This window comes from Homo sapiens, chromosome 8, assembly GCF_000001405.40.
Source record: "Homo sapiens chromosome 8, GRCh38.p14 Primary Assembly".
Lineage (NCBI taxonomy): Eukaryota > Metazoa > Chordata > Mammalia > Primates > Hominidae > Homo > Homo sapiens.
This window is the reverse complement of record NC_000008.11, coordinates 67099123-67125702: the sequence shown is the minus strand read 5'-3', so window position 1 is coordinate 67125702 and position 26580 is coordinate 67099123. Positions and strand designations below refer to the sequence as shown.

Sequence of the window (26580 nt, the reverse complement as noted above, 5' to 3'; positions counted from 1 at the left end):
GGCAGAAGAAACAATCAATGAACTTGAAGACAGGTCAATTGAGATTACCCAGTCTAGAACAGAAAGAAAAAGACTGAAGAAAAATGAACGAAGCTTCAGAGATCCTGTGAAACACCATAATGTGTACCAATGGGGGTCTCAGGAAGAGAAGACACAGAGAAAGGGACACAAAGAATATTGGAAAAAATAATGGGCAAAAATTTCCCAAATTAGATGAAAAATATTAATCTACAGATCCAATAAGCGCATCAAACTCCAAGTAAGAAAAACTCAAAGGGATCCACACTTATACAGCCAAACAGCTGAAAGATAAAGACAGAGAAATCCTGAAAGCAAGAGAATAACCATTCATCACATACAAGGGATCCTCAGTAAGATTAACAGCTTATCAGAAACCATAAAGGCTAGGGGATACCATATTGTGTTAAAAGATAAAGAATGCCAACCAATACTATTCCATACCATCAAAATTATCCTTCAAAAATGAAAGCTAAATTAAGACATTATTAAATACAATTCAGAGAAGTCATCACTAAGAGACCTGTTCTGTAAGAAACACTGAAGGGAGTCCTTCAGCTTGAAATGAAAGAACACTTGACAGCAACTGAAGTAAGCACAAACAAATAAAGAACGCCAGTAAAGATAATTACATGGGCAAATATAAAAGATATTACAAATGTAAAGACGTTTGTAACTTTATTCTTCTCTATTTGACTTAAAAGACAACTATGGATGGGCACAATGGCTCACATCTATAATCCCAGCACTTTGGGAGACCAAGGTGGTTTGAGGCCAGGAGTTCATGAGCAGCCTGGGATACACAGAGAGACGCCTGTCTCTACAAAAAATTAAAAAAATAAAAAATTAGCTAGGCGTAGTGGGAGTAGTAGCTACTTGGGAGCCTGAGGTGGGAGGATCCCTTAAATCCAGGAGTTTGACACTGCAGTGAGCTATGATCATACCACTGCACTCCAGCCTGGGTGACAGAGTGAGATCCTATCTCCAAAACAAAACAAAACAAAAAATTTTTTTAATTAGCTGAGCATTGGTGGTATGCACCTGTAGTCCCAGCTACTCAGGAGGCTAAGGCGGGAAGACTGTTTGAGCCCAGGAGTTCAAGCTTGCAGTGAGCCATGATCATGCCACTGCACTCCAACCTGTGCAACAGAGTAAGACCCTATCTCAAAAAATAAATTTATAAATAAATAAAAGACAATTGCATAAGGCAATAATTATAAAACTGTGTTGAGAGACTTAAATGTATAATAGTGTGATTTGTATGACAATAATAGCATCAAGTAGAGGAAAAGGAATGACCTTATATTAGAGAAAAGGTTTGTGTACCATTGAAATTAAGTTGCCCTTAATCTAAACTCATTTATTTTAAATTAAGATATCAATTTTAATCTGTAGGGAAACCACAAAAAAACTCAAAATTATGCAAAAGGCAACAAAAAAATCAAAATTGAATGCTATTAAATATTTAACATAAAAGAAACTAATAGGCCGGGTGCGGTGGCTCATGCCTGTAATCCCAGCACTTTGGGAGGCCAAGGCGGGTGGATCATGAGGTCAGGAGATCGAGACCATCCTGGCTAACGCGGTGAAACCCCGTCTCTACTAAAAATACAAAAAATTAGCCAGGCGTGGTGGCGGGCGCCTGTAGTCCCAGCTACTCGGGAGGCTGAGGCAGGAGAATGACATGAACCCAGAAGGTGGGGCTTGCAATGAGCCGAGATCGCACCACTGCACTCCAGCCTGGGCAACAGCGAGACTGCGTCTTAAAAAAAAAAAAAAGAGCCTGGCCGCGGTGGCTCATGCCCGTAATCCCAGCACTTTGTGGGGCTGGGATCACTTGAGCCAGAAGTTTGAGACCAGCCTGGGAAACATGGCAAAACCCTATCTCTACAAAAAATACAAATATTTAGCCAGGCGTGGTGGCATGTGCCTGTAGTTCCAGCTCCTTGAGAGATTGGAGTGGAAGGATTGCTTGAGCCCAGGAGTTTGAGGCTGCAGTGAGCTCTGTGATCACACCACTGCACTCCAGCTTGGGAAAGAGAATGAGACCCTATCTCTTAAAAAAAAAAAAAAACGAAGAAGAAAAAGAAGGTAATAAAGGAGGATTAGAGGAATAAAAAGACATAAGACATATAGAAAAAAATTGCAAAATGGCAAACATAAAAACCAGGAAGTAACTGCATTCTGTCTACATAGAGACATCTTTTAGATTCAAAGACAAATAAATTGAGAGTAAATACGAAAAATCATACACCATGCAAACAGTACTAAAAGAGAACCAGAACAGCAACATTTATATTAGAACTAAAAGCACTTTATGACAAAAATTGTTAGCAGAGACACAGAAGAATCTCTGACACTAATAAAAGGGTCAAATCTTCAGTAAGACACAATTATAAACATATGCATATAAAGAGAGACCTAAGAAACGAAACAAAAACTGACAGAATTGAAGAGAATAATACACAAGTCAAGAATAATAGTTGGAGTCCGGGTGTGGTGGCTCATGGCTATATTCCTCGTACTTTGGGAGGCTGAGGCAAGAGGATCGCTTGAGGCCAGGAGTTCAAGATCACACTGGGCAACACAGGGAGACCCTGTTTCCACAAAAAATAAACAAATCAGTCAGGTGCAGTGGCACACGGCTGTAGTCCTAGCTGCTCAGGAGGCTGGGGTAGGAGGATTGCTTGAGCCCAGGAGGTTGAGGCTACAGCAAACTATGGTCTCACAACTGTATTCCAGCTTGGGTGACAGAGCAAGACTGTATATCAGAACACACACACACACAAACACACACACACACACACACAGAGCAAGACTGTATATCAGAACACACACACACAAAGTAACAGTTGGAGATTAAATACTTCACTTCTAATAATAGAACAACTACACAGAAGATCAAGGAAATAAAAGAAATAACACTATAAGCCAACTAGATCTAAGAGACACTTATAGAATAATACACTCACCAACAGGACAATACACATTCTTCTCAAATGCATGTGGAACATTCTCTAGGACAGACCATGTTAGGTCTTAAAATAAGCCTCAATAAATTAAAAAGGACTGACTGAAATCATACAAAGTTTGTTCTCCTACTGCAATGTAATTATATTAGACATGAGTAACAGAAGGATATTTGGGAAATTCACAATTATGTGGAAAGTAAACAACACATTTCAAAATAACCAACAGGTTGATGAAGAAATTTTTAAAAATTGGAAAATATTTTGAGAGCAATGAAAGTGAAAAGACAACATACCAAAACTTAAGGGATGTAGCTAAAACAGTACTAAGAGGAAAGCTTATAGTTGTAAGTATACATACCAAACAAAGGGAAAGATACCAAATCAATAATCTAGATTTTCATCTCTAGAAACCAGAAAAATGAGAGCAAACGGAACCCAAAGTAAGCAGAAGGGAGGAAATTTAAAAGATTACAGCAGAAATCAATGAAATGGAAACTAGAATAACGACAGAAAAAAAAAAAATCAACCAAACCAATAGTTTGTTATTTGAAAAGATCAACAAGATTGACAAATGCTTAGCTACACTGACCAACAAGAAGGCTCTGAATCTTCTATTAAAATCAGGAATTCTGTGATGGGAAGAATGAGGTCAGAAAAATAAATAAATAAATAAATAATAAAATATAATCAGAAATTCACAAAGGGGCATCACTATTAATCTTTTAAAAATAAGAAAGGACTGTAAGGGAATATTATCAACAATTATATGCCAACAAATCGGATAACCTAGATGAGATGGACAAATTCCTAGAAATAAAAACCTATCAAGACTAAATCATGAAGAAAAAGAAAATCTGAATAGACCTATATAACTAGTTACTAAAGAGACTGAATCTCTAATCAATAATCACCCAACAAAGAAAAGCCCTGTACCTTATGGTTTCACTGGTGAATTCTATCAAACATTTAAAGAAGAACTAATATAAATCCTCAAACTTTTTCAAAAAGTTCAAGAGGAGGGAACACTTCCTAATTCCTTCTATAAGCCCAACATTATGCTTATACCAAAGCTAGACAGTATAAGGAAACTACAACAAGATCACATATGAACACTGATGCAAAACTCCTTAACAAAATACTAGCAAACCAAATCCAGCAGCATATTAAAATGATTATACACCATGACTAAGTGGAATTTATTCCTGGAAAACAAGGATGGTTATGGTTAAACATAAAAAAATCAATCAATATACCACATTAAAAGAATAAAGGGGAAAAAAACATGATCATCACAATACAGAAAAAGCATTTGACAAAATTTAACACTTGCATCGTTAAAACTCAACAAACTAGGAATAGAATGAAATTACCTCAACATAATAAAAGCTATATATATGAAAAACCTACAGCAAACATCATACACAACAGTGAAAGACTGAAAGCTTTTCCTCTAAGATCAGGAACAAGGCAGGGATGCCCGCTTTAGCCATTTCTATTAAACATAGTACTGGAAGCTCTAGTCAGGGTAATTAAGAAAGTAATTAAGAAAGAAAAATAAGGGGCCAGGCGCAGTGGCTCACACCTGTAATCCCAGGACTTTGGGAGGCTGAGGCAGGCAGATCACAAGGTCAGGAGTTCGAGACCAGCCTGGCCAACATGGTGAAACCCTGTCTCTACTAAAGATACAAAAACTTAGCCGGGCATAGTGGTGCACGCCTTTAATCCCAGTTTCTCAGGAGGCTGAGCCAGAAGAATCACTTGAACTCAGGAGGCGGAGGTTGCAGTGAGCCAAGTTCACAACATTGTACTCCAGCCTGGGTGACAGGGTGAGACTCTGTCTCAAAAAAAAAAAGAAAGAAAGAAAAATAAATAAAAAGTATTCATATCAGAAAGAAAAAGTAAAATTATCTCTGTTCACAGATGTTATCATCTTATTTGCAGAAAATCCTAGATTCTACAACAAAATTATTAAAATAAATGAATTCAGTAAAGTAACAGGATACAAATCAACACCCAAAAATCAGCTGCATTTCTATACACTAACAATGAACAATTTGAAAAGAAAATTATGAAAGGAATTCCATTTATGAAAGCATCCAAAAGAATAAAATACTTAAGAATTAACTAAAGAAGTGAAAGACCTATACCTATACAATGAAAACTATGAAATATTGCTGAAAGAAATTTTAAAAGACATAAATAAATGGACATATATCTTATGTTCATGGATCAGAAGACATGACACTGTTAAAATGTCAAAACTACCCAAAGATTCAATACACTCACTACTCACTACCAAAATCACAATGACTTTTTTGCAGAAATAGAAAAACTCATCCCATAATTCATATGGAATCTCCAGGGATCCAAAATAGCCAAAACAATTTTGAAAAAGAACAAAGCTGTAGCACTCACATTTTCTGATTTCAAAACATTCAAAGCAACAGTAATCAAAACACTAAGGTACTGGGATAAAGGAAGACATACACACCAAGGGAAAAGGATAAATAGCCCAAAAATAAACCCTCGTATATTTGGTCAAATGATTTTCAACAAGAATGCCAATATCTCTCAATGCAGAAAGGATAGTCTTTCCAACAAATGGTGCTAAGAAAACTGAATATCCACATACAAAATAACTAAGACAAACCCTTATGCAATACCATAAAAAAATTAACTCAAAATGACTCAAACAGCTCAACATAAGACCTAAAATTATAAAACTCTCACAAGAAAATATAGGGCAAAAGCTTCAGGATGTTGGATTTGGCAATGATTTCTCAGACATGACACCAAAGGCACAGGCAACAATAATAAAAAGACAAATTGGACTTTATGAAAATTTAAGAATTTTGTGCATCAAAAGGCAATATCAAGACAGAATGGGAGCAAATATTTTCAAATCAAATACCTGATACAGAATTAATAACCAGGATATATGGAGGACTCTGAAAACTCAACAACAAAAAACAAACAACCTAATTCAAAAATGGGAAAGTACTTGGAAAGACAATTCTCCAAAGATGATATACAAATGGCCAAGAAGCATAGGAAAAGATGCTCAACCTCACTAATAATTAGGGAAATGCAAATTAAACCTACAATGAAATACCATCTTACACTCATTAGAATGGTTACTATAAAAAAAAGAAAAAGAAAATAAGTATTGGCAAAGACGTGGAGAAATTGGAACCCTTGTGCCCTACTGGTGAGAATATTAAAAAGTATAGCAGTTGTGGACAACAGTATGGCAGTTCTTCAAAAAATTAAACATAGAATTACCATATGACCCAGCAATTCCAGCTCTGGGTACAGACCCAAAAAAATTGAAAACAAGATTTCAAAGAGATATTTGTAAACTCATGTTCACAGCAGCATTATTCACAAATAGCCAAAATGTGGAAGCAATCCAAAGTGTCCACTAATGGATAAATGGATAGATTTTAGATAAGTAAAATGTTGTATACAATTACAATGGATTATAATTCAGCCTTAAAAAGGAAAGAAACTCTGAAATATGCTAAAAGACGGATGAACCTTGAGGACATTATGCAAAGTGAAATAAGCCAGTCACAAAAAGATAAACATTGTATGATTCTATTCATATGAGGTACATGGAGTAGTCAAAATCAGAGACATAGAATGGTGGTTGCCAGAGAACGGAGGTAGGGGAATGAGGAGGTACACCATTATTATTTAATGGGTATAGAGTTTCAGTTTACAAGATGAAAAGAGTTCTGAAGATGGATTGTGGTGATGGTTGCACATTATGAAAATATTAAATACCACTAAATAGTATACTCTAAAATGTTAGGATGGTGGCTTTTAGGTTATGTGTATCTTAACAAAATAAAAGTGGGGAAAAAATTATTCTTTTAACTAATAACTTACACAACAGGTTGTGCTAGTTGGTGGGTGACAGGAGCACTAACATAAGCTGCAGGCTGTACGCCCATCATTCCTGAACCATCTTAAAGAAAAAACAAAAAAACAAAAAAAGTTTATTTAGAATAATCATTTAATAATATTTTACTTATTCCTCCAGAAAAAGGTGCATAATCAAAATGTTACATAGAGAAAACCATCAATATTTCCTTCTGGGCTAGAAGTTAGCAAAGAACAACATAAGAAAACACAATCGTTATTTCTTAAACCAAGATGAAAAGGAAATAACTATAAAATATAACTGGGCTTTAAAATAGGGCATTTATTAAATCAATATATAACATCTGAATTAAGCAAAGTTGTGCTTTTCTCATTTAGATATTTTTTGTTTACACAAAAAAACAATTTTCCTTATTGAGCCAAGCGGGGAGAAAATGCTTACCCTATAGATAACTTACAATAAGCAAGACTGGGATCGAAAGTATTCCTGGACCCATAAAAATAGTATGCATCATCATAAGGAGTTCGATAGTTAGTAGCCAAAGGTGGTAGTAGGGGAGGTGGAGGCAGAGGTGCAATCCTGTATGAAAAGAAAGATGAAAAATTCCTCTCATATTTCATTGCAATTTTTTAAAAAATCAAGATGTTACTCTTTTGCAAAAACAGTACTGAAAATCCTATCACTACTTTAGAAAATGTCACCATCTTGCTCCAATCATTCACCAAAAATTATGACTTAAAAAGCAAATACTATTACATAGGATTTCACAATTTCAGGTACATTTATGTAAGATAAAAACCTGGGTTAATATTCAATCAATTAATATCCAATAGGCACTATGTGCCAGTATCAAATAAAGACAAACATGGTCCCTGTCCCTCAGGAGTAACATGAAAATAAACAACTACAGTCAAGTACAAGCAAATTAAATAATTAATAATAGTACAAGCAAATTAAACTAAATAGCAATATAGCCCAAAAAATGCAGATTGCTATAGGTACAGGAGAAGGGACATTTAAATCACATGAGGGAGAGAAAGAAAGCACATGTAAGGCTTTCCAGAAGAGGCAACGCTTAAGCCATGCTACTGGAGTGAGCTTGTGTGTGTTAGAGGAAGGACAATCCAGAAAGAGAAGGCAAAGAGCTACAAAACAGTGTGAGTACAAATGGTTCAGTCTGACTGAGGAAACGAGTGTATTTCTTAATAGTAAAATAAAAGCAACTTAAATACCAACAGTAAAGTATTGACACAATCTTTAAGTATTTCATAAATTTAAAACTTCTAAAAACCTCTACATTAGCACTTCATTACTGATTAGGAAATATCTCTGTATTGCTACCAATGCAATATTTTTCAGTAGTAAAAATGGCAAAGGCAAATTCCTTTAAATGAATAGAAAGAGATGGCGGCATTCTAGAATGTTCTCACTGTTGTATGTATCTTAACAGGTTCTCCCTTGTCATATACTTCAAAATAATTCCAAAGAACTAAGAAGGTACGGAAGTTCTCTTCAGTAGGGAATATCTTTCACATTTACTAGCCACTCAATGTGTCTAAACCTTATACCATCCTCACAACAAAAATACATCAACAAAAATGTCAAATAACTGTTATGAAAGGGAGCTGTCATCATTAAATCGAATTTCATAGAGATTTATACAAGCTAATCCTCACAACCCTGTAATTGTAAACATGAAAAAAATATAATACTACTCCACTTTTACAAATGAGAAAATTGAAGTTCAACAAAGGTGTGGTTTGCCCAAAATCCAGATAGGAAAGCCAACCATTTCAATCCCTAATTCAATGCTGAGACCACCATAAAATGCTCTGTTAATTCCAATGCCTCCTATTCCTGAGTCAGGAAGCCATCAGATAAAAAACACAAAGCCCCTGATAAGTATAGTAAACACACTTCCACAGTTGGTTAGTAACTAAAAGACCAACTTCTACTGAAATAATACAGTCCAGAAAATATCAATGTTCAAAAAAGTTAAGAAAAACACCTCTAAATTTAAATATATTTTATAATTAATACACTAACAGTGAACAAAAAATAAGCCCAGGCCCTACAAAGAAGAAAGTATAGCCCAGAAAATATCAGTGTTAACAACAGGATTTTCTTTATGTATATTCTATTATAGTGTGATGCCTTTCACCTACAGAAATCAAATCTTTACCCCAATACTTAAATTACAGGTTTTATAATCTCAACACTTTTTATTTCAGGTATTTGAGTTACACAGCCCATAAGTAATCACAGAGAATGAGCTGAAGAAACAGAAGCTAAAATAAAATTATATGTGTAAAAGAGCCACATTAGAAACTTTTTCTGCACAAATTGAAGAATTCAATGTTTGCCAAGTGGAAAGAACAAAATTGAAAAAAATGTACAACTTTTATATGTTAAAAGATATCAAAAACATCCCAAAATACAACCCAAAACTAAATAAATACTAAAATGTACTTAGTAATTCATTCTAAAGATACAAAATCATCTTTAAACAATAAAATGTTTTAAGAATTTCCCTTTTTTTATAATAGCAGAGAAAAAAACAAATTTCAAGAGAATTTATTTCACAAAACTGTTAACTGTACAAAATCTCTGAAGAATAACGTCATCCGCTTCAGTATATCCTTCTAAACATAAAATATAGCAATACCTTACCTAATTCCCAAACACAAAACATTTAAACAAGCACCTGGGAGACACCATTTCACCAAGGGCGCTGCTGAGTCCACTGCGCAAATCTTCATTTTGAGAAGGAACAGGATGAACTGATGGGATGGGTGGGACAGATGGGGCAGATAAAGGAGGGAGAGGTGTCTGGAAAGCTATTCTGGGTCTTTCAGGTGGTATCATCTCTTCAAAGTGTCTTGGTGCCACACTAAACTGCTTTAGTCTATCAGGCTAAAATAAAGAAAAAAAATCTGTTTGTTACATATAATCATAAGTTTAAAGGTGGAAGGGACCTCAAAAGACCTCCTATCCCAGCAGGCACTTAAGACAGTCACAGAATAACAGAATTTTACAGCTATAAAAGACTCTGAATATCTATTTTTATTTATTTATTTACTGAATAACAGAATTTTACAGCTATAAAAGACTCTGAATATCTATCTATCTATCTTATTTATTTATTTATTTATTTTTGAGGCAGAGTCTCACTGTGTCGCCCAGGCTGGAATGCAGTGGCATGATCTCAGGTCACAACAACTTCCACTTCCCGAATTCAAGCAATTCTCCTGCCTCAGCCTCAGAGTAGCTGGGGTTACAGGCACCTGCCACCACGCACAGCTAATTTTTGTAGAGAAGGGGGTTTCGCCACGTTGGCAAGGCTGGTCTTGAACTCCTGGCCTCAAGTGATCCGACCACCTCGGCCTCCCAGAGTGCTGGAATTACAGGTGTGAGCTTCTGTGCCCAGCCAGACTCTGAATATCTAATGCTTATTTTATAAATGGGTAATTGAGGCTCTCTGAGAAGTAATATATCACCTAAGGTCTCACTATTAGTAAATAATTAAGCAAAGACTAGAGTCAGATATTAATTTTAAATATACCTGTAGTATTCTTTTTATGTACTAGGACACCGTGCTACTTCTCTAATTGCCATTTCTGTTATAGTATTCTGTAAAACAGGGTCAGCAAATGCTTTCTGTAAAGGGCTAGACAGTAAATAGATTAAGATTTGCAAGACTACATAGTCTCTTCATAATGAGCAGACTCAGCTATGGTGCTAAAGCAGCCACAAACAGTATGTCAAGGAATGAACAAGGCTGTGCTGCAATAAAACTTTTTTTTATGAAAACAGGTAGCAAACAAATTTGGTCACAGGCCACACTTTGCTAATCTCTACTTTAGAACATCACTTATGTGCCCTTTTCTAAGATTTGCACATCAAAAGTAAACCCAAAAGTAAAGGCGTAACTGTTGCCTCCAATTACTTATTTATTCTCATAAATCAACTTGACACTGTATAGGAGCTTCAATTCAAAGATAAATAAGGTCTGTCACACACTAGTGTAACCATAAATACAAAATTTAACATGCCAACATATTACATTAAAAAGCTCACCTCTTAAAAGGAAACTTTTGATTCATAAAGGAAAATATATTTAGCTTTGAAATTTATCTTCTTTTTTTCCTACCATGGTTATCTTATCAGGAATGATTTATCAGGTTAACCCAGAAGCATACTGCGAGTGATGCTGGTGCAATATGAAACTTTTCCAAATAGATAACCCACAGGATATATTCTCAGCATAAGTAAAAGCAAATCAAAAGTTGCCTACAGGTAAATAATTTTAAGTTGCTGCATCCTTTTTAAGAATGAGCTTTTTAATGAAATTAAAGGTCTTAATCATCATTCAAAGATGAAACAAGACTTGTATTAGAAATAAATATTACATAACCAACTACAGAAAAAATAAATTGTGGTAAAAACAATAAATTACCTCCTCCTTACTTAACTGCAATGATGTGAGTAATTCATTCCACTTAATGATGAGAATTGCAAAATTAAAGTAAAAATAAGATTATTATCTCTCTAATGTTACAATAAGTAACAATTACTAAAACGCTTTAAAAATAAAGTCGTCAGTTTTCTCAGAAATCACTCCAATGTAAGAAAAGTAAGTGATCAAGATGTATTCAAGAAAAATATTAACATCAATTGTAAATTTAACCCAGATAACTTTCCCATGGAATAGTACATGTGAATAAAGCAGAGAGAACTAATTTAAACTTTAAAAAAATGACACACAAATGAAAAAGGAAAAATTACCTCAAGGAAATAACAGTTAAGAGAATTTACACTTTATGAGAACTGAATTTAGTTAATTTTATTACTGTTCAAATTGGTCTACTCTCTTTTTCTCCCAATATTCTCTATCCCCACCTGCCACCACATTTGAGGATCATTTGATGAAAGATTAAACATTAAAAGATGCCAGAAACCCTTACCGATTTCTCAGGGTCTTGTGCTCCAGACGCTGCAACCCTGAGTTCTAAATCTTTTTCTCTAAACAAAATTAAAGTTTTACATATTAAAAAGATATAGTAAACTATCAAAATTATAAATCATCACTGAAAGAAGCTTATACACAAAGTCTATGCACTACATCTACAAAAACAAATAATTCCTTTAACTGACATTACAGCCTTAAATAATACTGAAAGCCAAATTTTTTTACTTGATACAAAGTAAACTAGAATTCACATGTAACTAACTTGGACTATGTATCTCTAAGCCAATGCCTAGAGTATTTCAAAGACTAATTCACACAAAATAAAACACAAAAATAAAATATTTACCTTGTAAAACAAAAAAACCTCTTTTAGGGTACACATATATTTTCAGTTAGCAAAAAGAAGGGTAAAAATTTAAATATATCTACCATACTTCCTAATAATAGGGTTTTTTTAAAAATGATGTTAAAGATAGCTAACATCAAACAGTAGATATTGGCTTCCTCTGAGATAGAGGGAAAAAAGGCAAAAACTAAGAGATAACAGGTCTCAAATTCTCTCAAAACGAGATCTCTATTCCTAATTTTGTTGTTGTTGTTTTTGTTGTTGTTTAGTCAAGAGTCTCACCCTGTCGCCCAGGCTGGAATGCACTGGCGTTATCTCAGCTCACTGCAAACTCCGCCTCCCAGGTTCAAGCAATTCTCCTGCCTCAGCCTCCCGAATAGCTGGGACCACAAGCATGTGCCACCACGCCCGGCTAATTTTTTGTATTTTTAGTAGAGACGGGGTTTCACCGTGTTAGCCAGGATGGTCTCGATCTCCTGACCTTGTGATCCACCCACCTCGGCCTCCGAAAGTGCTGGGATTACAGGCGTGATCCACTGTAATTTCTAATTTTAAGCTATATTTAAAATTTCTAATTTTAAACTCTATTCCTAATTTTAAACTATAATATCTCATAGGTATTTCAACAAGAAAGACTACAAACAATGATACCTATGTACAACATAAATACTTGTGATTTACCATTCCTGTAGAATTGAGGAAGCCACTGAAGATTTTTGAGCAGGGTGCCAGTTTGATTAGTGTATTTTTTGACAGTTAATATTACACAGTGTGCTGGATCTACTGGAGCAGGGAGAAGGGAGTTGGGAAGACTAGTTATTAGTTAGAAAGCTATTGCTGCAATCCAGGTCAGACGTAGAGAGGACTTATCCAACATTAATGGCTCTGAGAATAGAAAGAAGGAGGGGGCCTCGTATGAAGTGAATACGAGAGGACAAGGAATCCAAGTCATAGTGAGATTTTGAGGCTCCATTATTGGGCTATTAATAGAAAATGAAGAGGGACAGTTGGTTTTGAGATGCTCATTTGGGATGGAAATGTTAAATTTATAGGATACAATTTTTTTTGCATGTATGTGTGTGTGCATACCATTTCATATGGCAAAAAATACTTTTATATTTGTTACTATATATGGGATAATCCAATGGGCATATCTATAACATTAAATGCTACCTTAAATCAAAAACTGAAGAAATCAATGAGGGAAGTAAAAGGGCTATTACAGAATATATAAATACTCTCACTTGCTACTTATGACCAAAAAAAAAAAAAAAAAACTCTCTTAGTATTTATTTTCCTTGTTGATTTAGCATGTAGAGATGAAAATATAAGTGATTTACAAATCAAACATCATATTAGAACGACAACCCCTTATTTAACCATGTCATTTTACACAAATGCACTTTAAACTCAAAATATCTCTTTTAAATGCAAACCTTTCATTACCGTCTCTTGTTCCTCTGTTGCTCAGCCATTTGTTCCAACAGTTCTAGTCTGTATTTCTCTTTCCTTCTCTGAATAAGTTCTCGATCTTCACCTCCTAGATAGTGGTATGAGAAAAATACAATCTTAACTCTTAAGCATCGTATGCAATTAGAAAGTTAAGTCCTTAAAAACTCCATCTTAATTGTATCATATAATTACTAATATGCAAGAAATACAGAAGGAAAAAAATCACATGAATCAGTCCTTCTTCAATTTCTTTTGTAATTAATGGGTACCTACTATGCGTCAAACACAAGATACAGTAATCATGCCCATGCCTCTACCATTAGTCAAAAATTTTCCTAAATAACAGAATGTTCTTATCCCAACCCCATTTTTCTAACAATCTAAATAATATTTCCATTAATATCTTCCATAAGTCTTACAAATTTAACATTTCAATCGCAAACGAGCATCTCAAAACCAACTGCCCCTCTTCATTTTCTACTAATGGCCCAATACTGGAGCCTCAAAATCTCACTATAACTTGGACTGCTTGTCCTCTTCTATTCACTTCATATGAGGCCCCCTCCTTTCTATTCTCAGAGCCATTAACCTTGGATAAGTCCTCTCTACATCTAACCTGGATTGCAGCAATAACTTCCTAACTAATTACCAGTCTTCCCAACTCCCTTCTCCCTGCTCCAATAGATCCAGTACACTATGTAATATTAACTGTCATAAAATACACTAATCAAACTGGCACTCTGCTCAAAAAACTCAATTCTACAGGAAAAAATACAAACCTCTCACCTTGGTATTCCTTATACAAAAATCCAGTTAATCAAAAATTTTGAATGCAGAGAAGATTATTATTATTGCATATGTTAATGCCACAAAATAACCTCTTAATCTAAATATGCAAGATCTGGAACACTACAAAAATCACAGGGTATCAAGAATGCAATTGAAACAGCAATTTCTGTACTGCCTTCATTATTGGTCTCCAACCATCAGTGGGCACACAGCATCTCAGTTTGTCCATTAAGCATAGATGTCAGCAAAAGTGAAGCTCCCGTAGAGGTAACATAAATTACATTAAGGTTAATAACTGTGTTTTATAATAAAAGTAAATATTCCCATTTCACTTCTGACCATGATAGAATAACCAAGCACAAGACTTAACCTCACAGTTTAAAAAACAAATAAACAACAACAACAACAACAACAACAGAAACATTAGAAAACTGCGCAAAATACACAAAATAATTGTTTTCCAGATACTGGACAATAGGTAGTGCAGAATTGTAATTGAGGTGAGCCCTATAATCACCCAATTTCTGCCCAAATGAAATTTCCAGACCACAGATACAGGTAAAGAGGTAAAGAGAACCCAAAGAGGGCCAGGAAACTGAGCTAAATTGAGTAGATAAAGAGCAAAATTCAGGAAGGCTAAAATGGCTAGAAGTTATGGAGCAAAGATCCAATAGGAAGCATAAAAAGAGCTCCAGAAATCCACAGGAGGTCCCTTCAGACTTTGCAGTGTGCTAGTTTGTGCATTCACAGAGTGAAATTCCATTTGGCCTGGCAACAAACTAAGAAGGATATAAACTGAACAATTCTCAGACCTGAAACAAAGGAGCAAAATTCAAGCTCCAGCCAGCTATGTTCTTGGTGGTCTCTCAGGGAACATGTCAGAAAGGTCACTCTGTAGTAGTAAGACTAAACTATTCTCTGAAAGGAAAGCTACTCTAGAGGTCCTTAGCTAAGCTTAAAACTGAACTTAGATCAAGTTGGTCTTTAGTGAGGGAGAAGGAAAGGAAAAATCATTTGGGAAAAAATTCAGACTGCAGAAGCAGCCTGCTTGAAAAGTCACAGCAACAGGCAAAAATAAAACAACCTGGGGAAAAAAAAAAAACCTCAGACTGCACCTGGACAGATAAGCAAACAGGATCTAGCACAGAGCTCTTTGTTCTTTGTCTAATTAGTGAACTCCCAGGAAAAAGTTTCCACCCCAGTTTAGGCATATTCATGGTGGGAACTTGCATGGGGATGGGGCGGGGGTGGCTTATCTAAAACAAACCCACAGTTATACAAACAAGACAAGCCGATTTCTGCTTGCCTAAAGACGTACCCACAGCTGTATAAGATAACGGGAGTAGCACAGACAGCTTTACTGATAAAATAAGTTACTCAAACTCCTACAGAGATGAAGAGTTTCTTACAAAAGCTTTTTAATTCAGCTGTAACCCCGCCATCCACTTGGACTCCCCTCTTTCCTGCAGAGAGCTTTTTTTCTTTCACTTATTAAACTTTCACTCCAACCCCACCTTTGTGTCTATGTTTCTTAATTTTCTCGGATATGGGACAAAGAACCTGGGGTACTAGTTCGGACAATGAGAAACTGCTACATTAAGGAGCATGTGTGAGATTGCAACATTAGTAACAGAGAAATGCGACAATGGTAGGCAAAATTTTTTAAAGATGGCTACTATGTTCCCTGCTCCCAGCTGAATCCCTGTATAATTCCCTCCCCTTGAGAATGGGTAGGACCTGTAACTTACTTGTATACAATAGAATATGGAAGGATGGAAAAATATTTGCAGATGTAACTAAGGTACCAAATCAACTAATTTTGAAGTAATTAAAAGAGAGATTATCTTAGGTGGACCTGATATAATCAGGTGAAAGCCCTTAGAAGAAGGACTGGGCCCTCCCTGAATTTAGAGATTCTTCTTGCTGGCATAAAGTGAGTAACCATGGTGAGGAAGCCCACATGACAAGAACAGCAGATGGCCACTAGGAACTGTGGGCAGCCTCCAGTGGGTATCCAGTAAGAAGCCAGGGCCCTCAGTCATACAGCCACAAAGAAATGAATTCTGCCAACAACCTGAATTAGCTTAGAGGAAGATTCTGCCCCACTCAAGCCTCCGGTTAAAAGGCAGCCTGGCGGATACCTTGATTATAGCCTTTTGAGACCATTAACAAAGGATCTGTTCAGTAAACCATGCCCAGACTTGACCCACTGGAGTTGCTGCCTGAATGCAATTTTCAAATGTTCACTAGAAAAACTGGGATCAAACAATACAGAAGACCTGAAAGAGATACTTTTGTGACATTCAGGCACAAAACATGGCCCACATTCCAGACTTTCAAAGCAGACTATACAAAGCAAAAGCTGCAAGCTATTGGTGAAGGGACAGAAAATCAGCTTGGACCCAGTATCCCACACTCTTATATAGCAAAGGCTTGTTACTGTTAGGGGAAGGGCAAAAAAATCTGGTGAAAAATCTGATGCAAAACCCTCCTCAGACACAAAGAAGAGTTTAGCTATCATCCTGGGCAAGGACAGTAATGTTGAGAAAGACCCATCCCTGAGGCCCAGATGCACAGGACCAGTCCAGCATCAAGTAACAATCAACAGCAATATACTGCGGAGAAGGGGAAAGTGTGGAGGGAGAGATGCCCTCACTGTCAAGGACATGAAGGTCTTGCTGAAAACTGGGGAAAGTGCAGGAACACTAAGAAAAATCTCTCTGGCACTCCAGGCCTCACACGAAGGACAAGATAGAGAATTCAACACTTCTCTCTAAGCAATCAATAGAAGCAGATAAAATTCATTAAGGATATACAAGACATGAACATACGATGAACCAACTTGACTTAACTCTTTTTTTTTTTTTTTGACACAGGGTCTTACTCTGTCACCCAAGTTGGAGTACAGTGGCACAATCACGGCTCACTGCAGCCTCAACCTCCCAGGCTTAAGCAATCCTCCTACTTCTGCCTCCTAAGTGGCTAGGACTACAGGTGCATGCCACCACACCCAGTTAATTTTTTTATTTTTTACTTTTTGTAGAGACATGGTCTCCCTATGTTGCCCAGGTTGCTCTCAAACTCTTGGGCTCAATCAAGTGATCCTCCTGCTTCAGCCTCCTAAGATGCTGGGATTACAGGTGTGAGCCACCACACCCAACCTTAAATGACATTTATCAACTACTATACTCAACAACTGCACCATGCACATTCTTTCAAGTACATACTAAACACTCACCAAGACAGACTATATTCTGAGCCACCCAAACAAAAAAAAAAAAAAAAAACTTTGTCAAAGAAATTAACAAACTTGAAATAACTGAAATTAATCTAATTATATTCTTGGATCATAAGAGGCTTAAACGAGCAGTCAATAACAAAAAAGATAGAAGGAAAATCCCCAAATGCTTGGAAATTTTAAAACATACTTCTAAATTACCTATGGTTCTCTTATAAACCCCACAATACATTTCCTATTTAGCTCTAAACTAAATCAATGATCTCACTTTTTAAATAAAGCAAAAGGTCCCAAGTGACATCCTTGGGGCAAAATTATAGGAAGATAAATTTCAGTTCAATTGAAATAAGAGTATCATAACAATCACAGCCATCTGAAGATGGAATGTCCTGTCTCTGGAAATCGTAAGTTTCCTATAGGTATGTACAAACATAGTTTTGGGGGGAAAAGATCAACCAGGAGGTAAGTCATTGAATTAAATGACTTTAACAGTTTCAAATGTTAGAGTCCATTGTCTTACCAAATATTCATCTATAAATCCTGGATTGCATTAGTGATAAACTCATGCCATTCATCTTTAAAAGGTCAGGGTACAATAATCCTTTTATTGATAAAATTATTTATCAGTAGGCTCTCAGCTCAGAAAGACATTTCTCTTATTTTACCATGTTTTATAAACTACATCGGCCGGGAACAGTGGCTCACGCCTATAATCCCAGCACTTTGGGAGGCCAAGGCAGGCACATCACTTGAGGTCAGGAGTTTGAGACCAGCCTGGCCAACATGGTGAAACCCCGTCTCAACTAAAAATACAAAAATTAGCCAGGCATGGTGGCACATGCCTGTAATTCCAACTACTCAGGAGACTGAGGCACAAGAATCGCTTGAACCCAGGAGGTGGAGGTTGCAGTGAGCCAAGATCGTGCCCCTGCACTCCAGCCTCAGTGATAGAGCGAAACTCAATTTCAAAATTAAAAAAAAAAAACAAAACATAAGAATATAGCCATTTAAAATAAAATAAATAAATAAAAACAAAACAAAAAGAATATAGCCTTTACATGGTACTGATTAAACTGGTCAATTTTCACCTACAGATATTACACTAGAATTCTAGGTGGCATGCCATTTTTCTCACAATAGCCATTCACAAGGGAACAAAAACCTGACAATATAATGCAATAATATGTCTCTAAACCAGTATTTAATTTACTGACTGTTTTTACGTTGAATGAATCTAGAGTGTTAATTTCTTCATATACTTTACTAAAACCAAATTTCAGTTCATTTTTTTCTAACAGTTTTCACAAAAAGACCTCTTTTCTATTACATATTTAAAGGTATAAACCAGAAACAAGTCTCTCCTCACAGTTTCTGGTATTAAATTTTGCCAAGTGTAATATAGCAAAACAAGCTTATATTCAGCAATGACCTTGACTTCCAATAAATAGAAAATTTAGACCATCATCACGATTTGAACAAAACACCTTCTCAGAAACTACATGAAAAGAACAAAGGAAAGAAAGGTTTAATTTGGAGAAAAGAAACTAAAATACACAGCAGTTTTGTACTAGCTAAAGAAACTAGAAAGAAGAATTAAGGAAAAAACTATCATAAATAAAACAAAATACTTTTTAAAAGCAGAAAAGAAACAGCCACACTGCAACAGAGTGCTAATAAAATATGGAATTAAAAGCTCATTACTGATTGGTAATGATCAATCCATTTTGCAAAAAAAAAAGATTACTGAAACTAATAATTTCATTATCACCTACGGAAAGCACATCACTAAATAATTTAGCTTTAAAATTATACATAGATGTGTTCATGAACATCATGAGTAAAAATAAGAAGATACATAAAATTTTAAAAATACAAAATAAAATTATACAGAGCTATATATGTTAAATGATTAGAATAGTACCTAGTGTAAAGTAAGCACTTACAAATATTTTCTACTATTAGTAAAAATAGTATTAATTACAACACTGAGTTCTCACTTAAAAAAGGATTATAAGACACTCTATACAAGCGCAACTAGTTGGAAGTTTTGTGCCTACCAAAGAGCATCCCTGCAAAAGGACTACAGGTATCTTGATTAGCAGATTTGGATGTTTCATTGTCTGGAGCACTAAAGAAAAAAAGACAGAGAAAAAGAGTAAATTAAAATCCAGATAATTTTCAGGAAGCAAAATTTCAGAGTAAAATGTAGCTATGAATTATTAGCCTTTCAAAGTACTATGGACATTAAAATATTTACAAATTTTTAAGGTTAAGGTAAAATCATGGCATTCTATCTCTTTATACAGTGCAACTCCAATGTATTCAGGCTTAAAAAATTAATAATAATTTGGCCAGGCATGGTGGCTCACACCTGTAATTCCAGCACTTTGGGAGGCCTACGTGGGTGGATTGCCTGAGGTCAGGAGTTGGAAACCAGCCTGGCCAATATGGTGAAACCCCGTCTCTAATAAAAAATACAAAAAAATTAGCTGAGTGCAGTGGTGGAGGCCTGTAATCCCAGCTACTCAGGAGGCTGACACAGGAGAATCACTTGAAACCAGGAAGCAGAGGTTGCAATGAGCCAAGATAGCATCATTGTGCTCCAGCCTGGGCAACAAGAGTGAGACACATATCAAAAACAAAAACAAAAACAAAAACATTCAGCTTGCTTCACTGGCTGTATAGGTTCTCAAATAAAATCTTTTTCAGGCTGGGCGTGGTGGCTAACACCTGTATTACAGCACCCTGGGAGGCCAAGGCAGGCAGATCGCTTGAGGTCTGGAGCTTGAGACCAGCCTGGCTATCACAGTAAAACCTCATCTCTACTAAAAATACAGAAATTAGCTGGACATGGTGGCACACGCCTATAATCCCAGCTACTTGGGAGGCAGAGGTAGGAGAATCACTTGAACCTGGAAGGCAGAGGGTACAGTGAGCCAAGATCCTGCCACTGTACTCCAGCCCGGGTGACAGAACAAGACTCTGTCTCGAAAAAAAAAAAAAAAAAAATCCTTTTTCATAAAAAAACAGCTACCCCAGTAAAAAAAAAAAAAAAAAAAAAAAAAATATATATATATATATATGTGCATGTAAGACCGGGAGCAGTGGCTCATGCCTGTAATCCCAGCATTTTGGGAGGCCAAGGCGGGCGAATTACCTGAGGTCAGGAGTTCGAGACCAGCCTGGCTAACATGGTGAAATCCCATCACTACTAAAAATACAAAAAAATTAGCCAGGCGTGGTGACACACGCCTCTAATCCCAGCTACTCGGGAGGCCGAGGCAGGAGAATCACTTGAACCCAGGAGGCAGAGATTGCAGTGAGCTGAGATCGTGCCGCTGCACTCCAGTCTGGGTGACAGAGTGAGACTCTGTCTCAAAAAAGAAGAAAAAGAAAAAGAAAAAAAGTGCACGTAAATAAAAAATAAAAAAAAAGGAAAAGAAAGAGTGATCTATGCACATACTTAGAAAAGATCATCCCTAAAAACACTCCTTCCTGGCCATGCGCAATGGCTCATGCCTGTAATCCCACCATGAGTTTGGGAGTTCAAGACCAGCCTGGACAACAGAGATCCTGACTCTACAAAAAAATTTTTTAAAAAACTAGCCAGGCATAGTGGCACATGCCTGTAGTCCCAACTACTCCAGAGGCTGTGGTGGGAGGGTCACTTGAGCCTGTAAAGTCAAGGTTTCAGTGAGCTATAATATGTCACTGCACTCCAGCATGGACAACAAAGCGAGACTCTGTCTCAAAAAAGAAAAAAAAAAAAAAACCTTTCTTGGAAGACAGAAACAAGGGGAAAAAAATCCTCAAAGGAAACTTAATCAATTAGAACAAAACAGCAAATTATCTTATTGCAAGCAGTGTTTATATATTACTTTTCTTAGAAAAAAATAGACATCTTTCTTGACATATGACATTATCTTCACTGTATACTATAGATTCAAAATCATTTATCCTTATGTACGACACAGGAATGCCACCAAAATGATAAAAAACTGTAAGTAGAAAGAGAACATAAATATAAAATACATACAATTTCCTTTCAACATGACAGAAATATATGAGCACTAATTTTACAAAGTAGGCATAAAAGCTATCTACTTGATAAACTGAAAATCAAAAATAAACTTTTGAAAGAAAAATTCACACCACAGGAACATTTCCAATTTTTTTTTTTTTTTTTTTTTTTTGAGAGGGAGTCTTGCTCTGTTGCCCAGACTGGAGTGCAGTGGTGCGATCTCGGCTCACTGCAAGCTCCGCCTCCTGGGTTCACGCCATTCTCCTGCCTCAGCCTCCCGAGTAGCTGGGATTACAGGGATTACCAGGGATTACAGGGATTGCCACGCCTGGCTAATTTTTTCTTTTCTTTTTCTTTTTTTTTTTTGTATTTTCAGTAGAGACTGGGTTTCACCATGTTGGCCAGACCAGGCTGGTCTTGAACTCCTGACCTCAAGTGATCCGCCTGCATCGGCTTCCCAAAATGCTGGGATTACAGGCATGAGCCACCAGGCCCGGCCACATTTTCAATTTATTTCCAGTCAAGTTGCATCACCATGACTCTAAGATATTTTAAGTTGATTTTTAGTCCATTAAATTATACTTATTTCTTTTATTATTTCAAACAAATTTACATACTTTGTAATGATAGGGACTTCTTCAGAACACCTTGGCACACTTTATAACCAAAACTTGTTCTTTAAAAGAATGCTGTAAAGTACTATCGATTTTCATTTAGTACTACCTCCCCACCTTTCTTTTCCTTTAATTCACTTCTCACTAAGAAGGAAGGCTGTTAATTTACTGTATCTTTCTACTTTTTCAGTTAGCCAGTTTTAGGCACATTCTGTTTCACAATGTAATGACTAAAGCAGAGAATTTATATTACATACTGTACCTTTTATTTTCAGCAGATGAAATTCTTATGTTTGACTGTTCTATAACATCCCCATCATGTTCCATAGGAGGCATATTCCCTCGTTTGTTCCTGTGCATCCTTAAAAACACATTAGCTTATAAAGCATGTGCCACATACAGTGGACCTTCTTATAACAGTTTGGTGTTTTTACATTTGATGTTGGCAACATTAAAAGGAACAAAGTGTTATAATGAAGTTTTACTATAAATGCATTATAAAATTAAATAGAATTTGTATGATCTGCTGGTTAATGAGACACTAAGAGTTTAAACGTAATAATCTTTTCTAAAAAGATTATGTTATTTTAATGTACTTGCTATAAATTTTTATTTTTAAAACTACAAATATACTAACACTTTTTTATCATTCAATTTAAAAGTGAATAACTGAACACCTACTGGGTATTCGGACACAGTCCCTGCACTCACAAAGATTATAGTCAAAATTCAAAATGAGAACATTTTTTAAATCAAAATTCATAGAGTCTGTGAATTATTTCATTGTACGTATAACCTTCTTTTTTTTTGAGACGGAGTCTTGCTGTGTCGCCAGGCTGGAGTGCAGTGGCACAATCTCGGCTCACTGCAACCTCCACCTCCTGGGTTCAAGTGATTCCCCTGCCTCAGCCTCCCAAGTAGCTGGGACTATAGGCGCGCACCACCATACCTGGCTAATTTTTTGTATTTTAGTAGAGACAGGGTTTCACCATGTTGGCCAGGATAGTCTCGATCTCCTAACCTTGTGATCTCCCGCCTTGGCCTCCCAAAGTGCTGGGATTACAAGCATGAGCCACCGCGACCTGTCATAACCTTTTTAACTTAAAAATACAGCAGCAGTCTTATCAATAAATTAAATAAAATATAACAAACCATGACATTTGCTAACACTGTAAATCACAGGAAAGAATAAATGTTACTGATAGGTGAATGGAAAATATAAACAGAGAAAATGATTAGCTAACTTTACTTACGAGGTCATAAACAACAAAAAGAAAGATTAGCATGTTTTCTGTTTTCTTCTTTAAAAACCTTTTTGGAAAATAATAATGAAAAAATGTTTTTCAATCAATCTTTTTTCCATTTGGCAAACACTGATTTTATTTTTAGCTTAATTTCTCATACCATAAAACCAACATGACTTTTTACACCAACACTTATTGGCATCCGTGAAAATCAGCATTTCATAAGCATTTCAAAGTTTCTTTACATGGCTGTTGAGTTACCCAACTATATTGTCTTTCTCAAGAGGACTATTACAAAGAAATATGGTTGTTAAAGCAGTATTCAGTATTTTAGGTGAATTTCATTATTGGATTAAGAAAAATGGCAATTTTCCGGAAAAAAAAAGAAACTTCTCACTCTCCACAGAACCAGCATATAAAATTCTTTCTTCCCTTGTTTCCATCATACAAGCCACTGTCAATATCATCTGTGGAGAAAACACTATTTGGAATTTTAATCTTAGTAACTATGACATGGCATAACGCATGAATGGCTTCCATTTTTTAATCGATCACAGATCACATACACACATTCTGATGTGTGAATGACACATCAGTTTAGTGTCATTCCCTACTTCTACCACTTAACAAACAGGTAAATACAAACTCAAATTCAAATTTGTAATTAACACTGCCAGGCAACCAGATTTAATTATACTGGATATTTATATATAATGCAGAAAAGCGTTAACAGAGCAGGCCTGAGACTGCCTATCCTCAGAAAATCCTGACTGTACAGTTGACCCTTGGCTGGCACCTGGGAATATAGATTTTGGGAGAGTTACAACCACTGGCAGAACTGATAAGAGCAGCTCACTGTGCTTAAACTGTTTACACAAACTATAGTTTATGCTAAACATTTGCTTTTCTTCAGGAAGTCTGGAATTTTGGTACATGCCAGGTACAGGGTGCCTACGTAACCATCCCACAATAAAAACCTTGGGCACCAAGTGTCTAATCGCTTTCCTGGCAGACATTTCCTTATATTGTTACAATTCAATGCTGGAGGAATTAAGCATCTCCTGTGTGACACCACTGGGAGAGACCCCTTGGAAGCTTGTGCCTGGTTTCCTTCAAACTTTGTTCCATGTGCCTTTTACCTTTGCTGATTTTGCATTGTATCATTTTGCTGTAATAAATTATAACTGTGACTACAACTATACCCAAAGTCCTTATGGATCCTCCTAGCAAATCACCCAACCTAGAGGTTTTCTTGAGAACCCATGACACAACACAAAAAGTAAATTCACTGGTGTAGTAAAGAGGTATCTAGGCCAAAAAAAAATTACATATAAAAATAATCTTTATTTATATATATATATATATTCTTTAATAATAAAGAAATCTTTATTACAAATTTTTTTAACAGAGGCCGGGCACGGCGGCTCATGCCTATAGTCCCAGCTACTTGGGAGGCTAAAGTGGGAGGACTGTTTGAGCCTGGAAGGCAGAGGTTGCAGTGAGCCAAGACTGTACCACTGCACTCCAGCCTGAGCAACAGAGTAAGACCCTGTCTCAAAAAAAAAAGAAAAAAATTAAATAGAAATTTAAAGTTACAAATTCTTAAAAGCATAACTTGGGGTCCCAGAATTAAAGGCCAGTTAAATATACAAAAGCTTTTTCTAAAATTAACATAGGGCTTGTGGCTTCCTTAATTATTAGTTAAGTTTTCTGAAGATAATATTTAGATTAATAATTCTAGCTTATCTTTATACCACCACTGCACCCAAGGTATCCACACTAAAAAATCTTTTACAGTCTCTTCAGTGTATATAGATAGTAAAGCAAACACCATAAACACAAGAGGTCATTTTCAAAGTTCATCCTAAATTAATTTAAGAAATGATTTTATTTATGTATAAGGTTAAGGTCTCTTTGCTAAAATCTACAGCAAAATCAAAAGATTTCCTAGTGAGCAGCACATATGAAAGATGTTCTAAGGTATACCTTTCATTGAAGAAAAAAATCATTAACAAGATTATAAAAGTCCACTCTGTCACCAATAATTATAAGATCAAGACCGAAAAATGTTTAAGAGGCTAAAAAAGAGCAGAAATAAGCATTTCACTAAAAAGATAATAAAATCTTAGGGATACTATTCAATTTTATGAAATGACATATGATTTGTTTATCTTTTTTAAGTCAAGGAAGAATTACTGTTTACAAATACAGATTTTATAATTTTTTTTAAATTACCAATGTAAGACCTAAAAAAAAGAAACCTTGAAGGGAAATTAAGCTGAAAAGACAAACTATAGTTTGGTAAGTTAGCCACCTTATTCTCTATTAAAATATCCCTACAATTTTTATGGCATTTCCTTCATTTACTAAATTGGCCTTTATATTTCTAATAAATTTAGCATTTAATCACCCAGAACTAGCTCTGTTAGTTCACTTAAAACAGCTTTTATGGTCTTACAATTTATTGTTGTAACCTTTTCTGAACAAAAAAAGTCCTCTCTGAAGAAAGCAACTAGTAAGAATCAGCAGTGGTTTTACCACGGCTACATCTCTATTCAATCATCTCAACATTAAAGGAAAACAGACAGATGATAATATCCAAAAGTAATGCACTCACTAAATGTCTAAGAACCATTTGATTCTAATCAAAGTTCAGGAGTTCTGTTTAGGTTCAGTTTGTCCCTGGAACCCCTTTATGTTTCACTGTGAGAGTACCAGATTAAGACTATCCTTGTGACCCAAAAGTAATCTATCTAAATACTCTCCCACCAAATTACTAACCAGGTCCAAGCCTACTTAGTTTCCAACATCAAACAAGATCAGGCACATTCCAGGGTGGTATAGCCATAGAAAATCTATCTAAATATTCTATGGCTTTTAATATATAAGTTCACTTACCACACCTTAACATGTTGGGTTTTGTCACAAAGGGACAGAACTCATAACTTTGAAATGCAAATCAGATATGATTGAGGGAATAAAATAACTGCAAAATGGTTTCACCATCCTACTAACTAAAAAAAAAAGGTAT

General features: G+C 35.8%; 1 protein-coding gene and 1 pseudogene across 35 annotated transcripts in view, besides 1 other annotated feature; both read right to left on the bottom strand.

Annotated features, from left to right (window-relative positions):
• CSPP1 (centrosome and spindle pole associated protein 1) overlaps nucleotides 1-26580 on the bottom strand; it is a 132247-nt gene that overhangs the window by 70912 nt on the left and 34755 nt on the right. For 13 of the 35 annotated variants that reach the window (XM_005251305.5, XM_047422254.1, XM_006716474.4 and 10 more), the window contains 7 exons: nucleotides 22568-22666; nucleotides 19728-19798; nucleotides 13638-13731; nucleotides 11841-11898; nucleotides 9581-9789; nucleotides 7334-7455; nucleotides 6882-6960 (listed from right to left, as the gene is read on the bottom strand). In XM_005251305.5, coding sequence (XP_005251362.3) covers nucleotides 6882-6960; nucleotides 7334-7455; nucleotides 9581-9789; nucleotides 11841-11898; nucleotides 13638-13731; nucleotides 19728-19798; nucleotides 22568-22666 — 732 coding nt within the window. Of the gene's footprint in view, nucleotides 1-6881; nucleotides 6961-7333; nucleotides 7456-9580; nucleotides 9790-11332; nucleotides 11375-11840; nucleotides 11899-13637; nucleotides 13732-19727; nucleotides 19799-22567; nucleotides 22667-26580 lie in introns of all 35 variants that reach the window. The other 22 variants (XM_011517598.3, XM_047422253.1, XM_047422245.1 and 19 more) reach the window with 4 other exon arrangements.
• Nucleotides 24993-25203: a silencer, noted in NCBI's record as "fragment chr8:68012735-68012945 (GRCh37/hg19 assembly coordinates)". NCBI's record gives its function as "represses an EF-1alpha promoter that drives an FKBP-Casp9 reporter gene in an ReSE screen in K562 erythroleukemia cells {active_cell/tissue: K562}" and the evidence as "EXISTENCE:reporter gene assay evidence [ECO:0000049][PMID:32094911]".
• RNA5SP268 (RNA, 5S ribosomal pseudogene 268) lies at nucleotides 26278-26401 on the bottom strand (annotated as a pseudogene).